Genomic DNA, 9,829 nt, shown 5'->3' on the forward strand with positions numbered 1-9,829 from the left:
CAAACCCCTTTGACTGTAATTGTCCACTACCCACCCAAATCCTGTAAAACAGCCCCACCCCTATCTCCCTTCCCTGACTCTCTTTTTGGACTCAGCCCACCTGCAACCAGGTGAAATAAACAGCCTTGTTGCTCACACAAAGCCTGTTTGGTCGTCTCTTCACGCGGACGTGCGTGACAATGGGCTCAAGTCGTCCTCCCACCTCAGCCTCCTGAATAGCTAGGGACTACAGGCATGCACCACCATGCCTGGCTAATTTTTGTATTTTTTGTAGAGAAAGAGTTTCACCATGTTTCCCAGGCTGGTCTTGAACTCTTGAGCTCAAGCGATCTGTCTGCCTTGGTCTCCCAAAGTGCTGGGATTACAGGGATGAGCCACCATGCCCGGCCTTGAATAGCCACTTTGGATCCCCATTTGAAACTCCCTTCTGTTGGAATTCCAAAAACTTTTCTGCACAGTCCTCTACCCAAATGCCCTTGTGTAATATACACCTCTGTGTTACAGTCTTGTTGCAGACAAAGTGCAAATACTAGGGTTCAGGTGAGGCCATTCCAAATTATTTTCAAGGAATGAGGTTTGCTTCTAAAGATGCCTGTTTGAGATGTTTCAGAGCCCACCTTCCTGAAGATGTATATTGGTATCTGATACAATGAACTTTGATGTATACTCATTGATCCAGTACTTAAAGATGGACTATTATTGAATGTTCTTGACAAGAGAAATGACATTATAGAAGTCTAGAGTTCACCTAGTATGCCAACATGACTATAGCAGTTGTTAGAATTTTGACATACAGCTGACCCTTGAACAAGGCAGGGGTTAGGGGTGCTGAGCCTCATGTAGTCAAAAATATGCATGTAACTTTTGATTATCCCAAATCTTAATAGCCTGCTGTTAACCAAAAGTCTCACTGATAACACAGTAATATGTGGTAATAATAATTTTTTTTTTTTTGAGATGGAGTCTCGCTCTGTCACCCAGGCTGGTGTGCAGTGGTGCAATCTGCGCTCACTGCAACCTCCACCTCCCAGATAAAAGTGACTCTCGTCCTTCAGCCTCCCAAGTAGCTGGGATTATAGGCACTCGCCACCACGTCTAGCTAATCTTTGTATTTTTAGTAGAGATGGGGTTTCACCATGTTGGCCAGGCTGGTTTTGAACCCCTGACCTCCGGTGATCCGCCTGCCTTGGCCTTTCAAAATGTTGGGATTACAGGTGTGAGCCAACATGCCAGGCCTGTGTTAATAATAATTAAGACATTTTATATGTTATATAGATCATATACTGTATTATTACAATAAAGTAAACTAGAGAAAATAAAGTATTATTAAGAAAATTATGGGCCAGACACAGTGGCTCACATACCAGTTGTTGCCATACCAGTTGTTGGTTTTTTTGAATGTCATTCCTGTAGACGTGTGCTTTGGGAAAATTTTGCTGGCAACAGTGTCTAAGGGGTTAGAGAAGGGAAGACCCCAGAGCCAAATAATTCAGCAACAAGTCTGTTGTCTTAATCAGGAGGTCAGGTGGTAAGCGCTTGGTCTAATGTGACAGAGGAGAGAACTAATCTGAGCTGCCTGTCATCTTAAGAGGAACAAAGCCTCCTCCAGCGTGTTTAGGACTCAACCTCTGGAAAGTATGGACAGGTAGAAACCTAGTCCCACTCCCAGGGTAACAAGGCCAGAACAGGACCACCAGCAACATCAGCTTATTACTAAGTTAGAAAATTTATAAATTCAGAAAATTTGTAAATTGTCTAGTTCAGTTCAGTCTGGGATGAATTTGAGCCAACAAGTGAGCCCTTACAGGGCAAAAGGGATACGAGATCACAGAATGAAGAGGGTGCAAGGAAAGGGACCAGCAGGGGAAAGTGTGGGGGATCAAACCAGAAAAGGACAGTCATCAGGCAAATTATGATAGAATGTCATCAAGAAGAATGAAGACTGGAAATAATTATACATTTTTTGATTGGGGGTGACTAGAAGTGTCACTGTAGGGATTAAGATGGGAATGGATGAAGAAGAAAATGCATAGTATGCACTGTGGACTACTGACTCCAAATGACCAGGACTGGGAAACATTAACCCATGAGCTGGCTCAAAAACAGCAGAAACCTATGCTGTGGTTTGGTGGCCGTGGTTCTGTGCAAATGAAAACTCAAGAGAACCCACACTGGGCTGTGACCAGACCTTCTGTTTTATACCTATGTTCTTGATGGTCATCTTTTATAATTATTGACAGCTGGAGGGCAGGGAGAGCATTCTTGCTTTTGTGTCAGAAAACATTCAACATGGAATAGGAGCAGCACTTCATCTGGACGTTAAACCTCTGGTTAAGGATTCCATGCAATAACTGGGCTCAACTCTGAATATATCCTGGATATATTAAATATATGTTAAAATATATTAAAAATATATATTTAATATATATCAGGATCTCAGCCTCCTCCTGAGTGAGGCATCGGAAATGTCTGATCCAGTAAGCAGGCATTGTGTCACACCAGCTGTCACACCGGGACTTCCCCAGCAGGGACAGAATTCCTAAGGGATTATCTCAGAATCACAGAAGTTTCAATTATGTAGGACCTGAAGTTACTCTCCCTCGTTCCTGGAAAATTTTAGGTCCAGGTTTACTAGTTCTATCTCTACAGCTCTAGTCATGATTCTTGGGGGGTTTAGTGTCCATGAAGATGATTCTTCTAGTTCCCTGGCCTTTAAAATTTCCTCAACTTCTTCACCTTTAATGATTTTGTCCTCCACTTCTTAGCCACCCGCTTACTCCCTTAGTCATATACACGTCTAGACTTCATGAATGGCAAGAATTGTATCTACTCCATAGTCTTTAAAATTTTTTTAAGAGACAACAGGGTCTCGTTCTGTCATCCAGGCTGGAGTGCTGTGGTACAGTCATAGCTCATTGCAGCCTTGAACTCCTGGGCGAAAGCAATATTCCTGCCTTAGCCTCCCGAGTAGCTAGGACTACAGGCATGAGCCACTGTGTCCAGCTAATTTTTTATTTTTTATACAGATTTCATTATGTTGCTCACGTTTACTCCATAGTCTTACACTCAAACATCTAAATCTTAAACTGTCTCATATTTTTGAGTCACTTCCTCTAGTACCCCAATTTTAATAATTCTTCAACCCAATGAGGATCTCTAAACTACTGATCCTATTACCTATTTACTCCCCCAAATGCCCTATGTCCTCACTTCCATAGCCAGGACTAGAGGGAGACAAGGGAGAGCCTAGGGTGCAACATCTAAGGAAACACACACTCTCAGGGTCCTGCGAGAGCAGGTGGGCACTTGCAAATTTTGTCTCTTTAAATGGTGCACCCTAGGCACCTGGCCTGTGCCTCACACTAGCCCCAGTCTAACTTACTTCTTACCTAAGCTAGACAGCATAATCCATTATAATAAATACCCAGTGCCTCTCTCCTGTTTATCTGGCAAAACACCACTCTGGTTAAATCCATGCCAGCATCTGAGACATTGCACATGGCTGGAGAAAAACACCCACCCTTGCTCACAGTTCTCATGGACACTAACCTCACAAGGACTTCTCATGCTCCTCAGGAATCTCTCCACATTTCCTAGTCCAGCGGTTCTCGAAGTGAGGTTCCTGGCCCAGCAGCATCAATATCGCCATGTATTAGTCTATTTCCACACTGCTATAATGAATACTACCTGAGACTGGGTCATTTATAAAGAAAGGAGGTTTAGTTGACTCACAGTTTCAAATGGCTGGGAAGGCCTCAGGAAACTTACAATTATGGTGGAAGGCAAAAGAGAAGCAGGCACTTTCTTCACAAGGCAGCAGGAGGAAAGTGAGAAGAACCGAACCATATCACACCAGGAACTTGTTAGAAAAGCAAATTCTCAGGCTCCACCTCAGACCTCCTGAATTAAAAACTCAGAAGGCGGGGCCTGTCAGTCTGCTTTGTCAAGTCCTCCAGGTGATGCTGATGTGCCGTCAAGTTTGAGAGCCACTTCCCTAGTCAACTTATTCTCCCCATCTTGAGACAATTTCATACTTCTCCCCTCTCCTCCAAATTCAGATGGCCCTTCCCCTGTGACACCCACAACCTCCTATCTGAATTTTTTTTTTTTTTTTTTTTTTAGATAGGGTCTTGCTCTGTCACCCAGGCTGGAGTGCAACGGTAAAGCTCACTGCAGCCTCCACCTTCCAGGCTCAAGTGATCCTCCCACCTCAGCCTTCTGAGTAGCTGAGACTATAGACACGCACCACCACACTTGGTTAATTTTGTTTTTTTACATTTTTTGCAGACAGGGGCTTGCTATGTTGCTTAGTTTGGTCTTGAACTTCTGGCCTCAAGCGATTCTCTTGCCTTGGCCTCCCCAAAGTGCTGGGATTACAGGTGTGAGCCACTGTGCCTAACCTCAAATTCTTAATTTACTGAGAAAATCAGAAGATAACCTTCACCTGCTTCCACCACGGATTCTCCTGAGGAGGCTGTGCCTGTGCCTCACACCTGGCCTTCAACCTTCCTGCTACCATCAACCACTTGGGCTGTCCTTAAAGTCCTGTGAAGTGGGTCCCAGCCCCTCTCACCTACTCAAGCACTCAGCTCCTGCAGTTGTGCCCTCTTCCTTCCTACTGGGTAATTCCCATCAGTATTTCATATCTCTTAATCTTTTTTTAAAAAGAAAGAAAAAAAAGAGAAATATTCCCTTAAATCCACATCTTCTTCAAGCTACCACCCAATTTCCCTGATCTCCTTTAAGCCAAAATTCACAAGCCATATCTTTAGTTTCTGTCTCCAGCTCCTCTCATGGGTCATTGTCTCATGGATCTACTCCAGCCAGGCCATGATGCCCACAACTTCACTGACAATGCTATTACCATGTGCTTCCAATTGCTGAGCCCTATGGTCAATTCCCAGCACTCATCTCACCTCCTTGGGGCCCTTTCTGCAATTTCCCTTTGGGTCGTTGACATGCTTTGGCTACACTCACTTCCAAATCTCATCTCGAATTGTAATCGCCACATGTCAAGGGAGAGACCTGGTGGGAGGTGATTGGATCATAGGGGCTGTTTCCCCCATGCTATCCTCATGATAGTGAAGGAGTTCTCACGAGATGTGTTTTTTTTTTTTGTTTTTTGTTTTGTTTTGTTTTTGTTTGTTTTTTTTTAAGTGTCTGGAGTTTCCCCTATGGACGCTCTCTCCTGCCACCATGTAAGTCTTGCCTCTCTTTTCGTTTGCCTTCCACCATGATTGTAAGTTTCCTGAGGCCTCCCCAGCTATGTGGAACTGTGAGTCAATTGAACCTCTTTTGTTTATAAATGATCCAGTCTTAGGTAGTATCTTTATCACAGTGTGAAAGTGGACTGATACAGATGTCATGCCACTTTGAGTTCCCTTCTTACTTCATTGGCTGCTTCCTCTCAAACTCTTTTGGTCTGCATCTTCCTGCCATCTGAATATTGGAGCTCCCAGAGCTCCAGCCTTGGCCACTCTCCCTTTCTGGCTATACTCACTTCCTAGGGGTCTCATACAAGCCCATGGCTTTAAATGCTATTTATATACTAATGACTTAGCCCTCCCATGAGTTGTATAGTCAGTCACTCTGCAACATGGCATTGCCAATATATCTACAAATGAGCTCAATATTCCTTGCCCCACCACCTCAACCCATTCATTCTCCAGCCCTATGCAGCTCTGTCAGTGGCAATGCCAGCCTTTTAGTGGCTCAGGACAAATCTCTGAAGTCATCTTGGATTCCTCTACTTCTCTCACATCCTACATGCATTCCTTTAAGTCCTTTTGGCTCCATCGAAAAAAATGTGTCTGGAGCCTGACCACTTGTCCCCACCTCCACAACACCTCCACACCCAAGCCACCAGTGTCTCTGTCCTAGATTATTTCAGTAGCCTCCGAATGAGCCTGTCAGTCTTCACTCTTACCCCCACAGGCTATTTTTCACACAGCAGCTGAAATAATCCTTATAAAGTATAAACCAGATCATATTACTTTTCTGCTTGGAGCCCTCCAGTGACACATCATCTCAGAATCAATCCAACTGCTTGGCTATGGCTGACAATGGGCATCACTTCCTTTCACTCTCTGAGACCTCTGGCACCTTGCATTGTCTGGATGGGCTTGGTACTTGTATTACCAGAAAGAGGTCCTGATCTAGACCCCAAGAGAGGGCTGTTGGATCTCATGCAAGAAAGAATTCAGGGCAAGTCCATAAAGTGAAAGCAAGTTTATTAAGAAAGTAAAGAAATAAAAGAATGGCTATTCCATAGGCAGAGCAGTGGCCTGGACTGCTCAACTGAGCATACTTATAGTTATTTCTTGATTATATGCTACACAAGGGGTGGATTAATCATGAATTTTCTGGGAAAGGGGTGGGCAATTCCTGGAACTGAGGGTTCCTCTCCCTTTTAGACCATAGGGTTAACTTCTTGACGTTGCCATGGCATTTGTAAACTGTCGTGGTGCTGGTGAGAATATCTTTCAGCATGCTAATGCCTTATAATTAGAGTATAGTAAGCAGTGAGGATGACCAGAAGTCACTTTCATCACCATCTTGGTTATGGTGGGTTTTAGCCAGCTTCTTTACCACATCCTGTTTTATCAGCAAGGTCTTTATGACTTGCACCTTGTGGCCAACCTCCTATCTCATCCCATAACTAAGAAAGCCTGACCTCCTGAGAATGCAGCCCAGTAGGTCTCAGCCTTATTTTACCCAGCCACTTTTCAAGATGGAGTCTGTTTGGTTTAAATGCCTCTGACGCTTGTCGTTCCCTGTGCTGGAATGTTCTTACTCAGATACCCACGCAGCTGCCTTCAAGTCTCTGTTTAAATCGTATTTCATGAGAAAAGCCTTTCACTTCCTTTTAGACAAAAAAGCGCCACTGCAGGGAGGAATGCCAGGGTCCCATAGAGGGAGACCGACAGTGAAGTGGAGCCTGCCATGAATTCACCAAAGGCCATTCTCCCTTTCTTCCAGAAGAACAGCATTTAGCTGGGCCTATGGCTACCTACCTAAAGACTGCACCTCTTAGTCACCCTTGTGGCCAGGTGTGGCCACGTGACAGTGGAATGTAAGTGGAAGTGATGTATGCACTTGGGTTCATTGGTTTAAAAAAAAATATGACCGCCCTCCATTTCCACTCTTTGTCTTATCTGTGAATGGGAACATGGCTGTGTCTGCAGCCCGACTTTGTGCAGCAAAGGACAAGGCCCTAGGGGAAGGTGGAGAAACAAGATGGAACAACTTGGACCCAACAACTTGGATCCCTATGTGGCCATGTGGAGTCATCTCACCCACCTGGGCCACTCACCCCGAAGACTGTTGTGTGAGGGTGAAATAAACTTCTGTATCACTAGCCCCTGCATTTCAGAAATTCTTTGTTATGGCAGTTTTGCCTTTATCCTAACACAGACAGCAAAGTATCTTCTGTGGCCCCATGACTAATTTCGTTGTTTAAACTCATTATAAAAACTATATAAATAAAATATTAAAAATCAAATAAAATAGCAAGATAACACTGTGTAACTATCCAGTTTTAGATGTTATTACCTTTTTGGCATATTTACCTCATCTATTTTCTCCAGGGGTTTTTAAAGAAGAGTCATGCTTGTTATTTTAAATTATCTGCAGTGCTCCTTGGTCTTATAAAACTATGGGTTATTTCAAACTTCGGTAAATGTCTGATACACATGAACTTCTTGCATTGTTGAGGAAATCAGAGAAAAATGATGCTGTTTTTCCCTTGTAAGTTGACAATGGATGGAGATGAAACCACCTTTGCAAAATTATGGCAATAAGAGAAATTGGACATGGCAGACTCCATCTTGCTTTTAGCCTCACAGGTTGGCTGTCTTGGCTCATTCCTGGGCATAAGCCAAGCTAACTTTGGCAGAAATTGAGTTTATAGTGTAAACGATAATAGCCTTTCCCCAAAACTAAACTACCCTTGTAAAATTAATGAAAGGCCACCAAGTTAGGAGGATGAGAAGGGCCTGAATGCCTGAATTCAGCCATTATTCTGGAAGTCACAAGATGTGCAACCTCCCCAGTTACTCCTGTAAATAACTTCAGTATTGTAGAACCTAAGATTGGCCTTTTGACAGCCTTTTGCATTTCTGACAACTAGATGGCCCCACGCAGACCCGTGACTCAACCAGTCCTATAGCCTTCATCCAAAAATGGACTCAGTGCATGAGGACTGTTTTCCACACCCTTATGATTGCATCCCAAACCAATCAGCAGCACCCATACCCTATCCCCTGCACACCAAACTATCTTTGAGAAACTCCTAACCTCTGATTCTTTGGTGAGATTGATTTAAGTAATAACTCTGTCTCCCACATGGCGTGGCTGGCGTCGTGTCAATTAAACTCTTTCTTTACTGCAATGCCATGGTCTCTATGAATTGATTTTGTTTTGCAGTGGGCAGGAAGAACCTGTTGGACAGTAACAGAGAGAAGAGAAGAACCATAAGAAGTGGAATGTGAGGTGGATTGAGAGTTTAGTGGGACCAGGAAATCTAAGCAGGAGTGACCCCAGCAACAGAGGCACCTTAGGGTTTGCAGAAATCATGGGAAAGGCACTGAACTTTCCACAGTATGTAGGATAAGGACTTGAGTCTTTTTTTTTTTTTTTTTTTGAGACATTGAGACAAGGTCTCTTTGTCACTCAGGCTGGAGTGCAGTGGCATAATCATGGTTCACTGCAGCCTCGACTTCCTGTGCTCAAGTGATCTTCCTGCTTCAGCCTCCCAAGTAGCTGGGACGACAGGCAGGTACTACTATTCCCGGCTGGGTTTTTTTGTTTTTTGTTTTTTTTTTGTTTTTGAGACGGAGTCTTGCTCTTTTGCCCAGGCTGCAGTACAGTGGCATGATCTTGGCTCACTTCAACCTCTGCCTCTTGGGTTCAAGCGATTCTCCTGCCTCAGCCCCCCAAGTAGCTGGGATTACATGCACCTGCCACCACGCCTGGCTAAATTTTTGTATTTTTAGTAGAGAAGGTGTTTTGCCATGTTGGCCAGGCTGGTCTCAAACTCCTGACCTCAAGTGATCCACCTGCCTTAGCCTCCCAAAGTGCTGGGATTACAAGGGTGAACCACCACACCCAGCCCATGCCCAGCTAATCAAAAACAAATTTTTTTTTGGTAGAGATGGAGTCTAACTATGTTGCCAAGGCTGGTCTCAAATTCTTGGGCTCAAATGATCCTCCTGCCTCAGTCTTCCAAAGTGCTGAGATTACAAGCATGAGCCACCACACCTGGCTGCCATTTTTATTTTAACATTAAATGTATACATATACTACCCAAGGCTGGAAGACATAGGGACACCAAGATGACAGTTAGTGTGTGCTTTGTATATGTAGGTATGCCTCAGAGATATTATGGGTTTGGGTCCAGACTACTGCAATAAAGCAGATATCACAATAACGTGAGTCACAAGAATATTTTTGTTTCCTTGTGCACATAAAATTGTGTTATTCTACACTGTAGTCTATTAAGTGTGCAATAGCATTATGTCTTAAGAAAGCAATGTATATACCTTAATTTAAAAAATGGTTTATTGCTGAAAAATTTTCATGATCATCTGAGCCTTCAATGACTTCCGTAATCTTTTTGTGGGTAGAGTCTTGCCTTGATGTTGATGGTTGCTGACTAATCAGGGTGGTGGTTGCCAAAGGATGGGGTAGGTGTGGCAATTCTTAAAATAAGGCAGCAATGAAGTTCTCTGCATCAATTGACTCTCCCTTTTATGAAAGATCTCTCCATAGAATGGAATGCTGTTTGATAGCATTTTATCCACCATAGAAGTTCTTTCAAAATTGGAGACAA

The 9,829-nt window shown here is 43.6% G+C and overlaps 1 long non-coding RNA gene across 1 annotated transcript in view; it reads left to right on the plus strand.

Annotated features, from left to right (window-relative positions):
• The window catches only part of LNCOG (lncRNA osteogenesis associated), a 46,087-nt gene extending 37,722 nt beyond the window's left edge, over positions 1–8,365 (plus strand). The window contains exon 4 of the long non-coding RNA NR_146531.1: positions 6,870–8,365. This is a non-coding gene — a long non-coding RNA (lncRNA osteogenesis associated). The remainder of the gene's footprint in view (positions 1–6,869) is intronic.
• The last annotated feature ends 1,464 nt before the right edge of the window (positions 8,366–9,829 follow it).

This window comes from Homo sapiens, chromosome 12, assembly GCF_000001405.40.
Source record: "Homo sapiens chromosome 12, GRCh38.p14 Primary Assembly".
Classification (NCBI taxonomy): domain Eukaryota; kingdom Metazoa; phylum Chordata; class Mammalia; order Primates; family Hominidae; genus Homo; species Homo sapiens.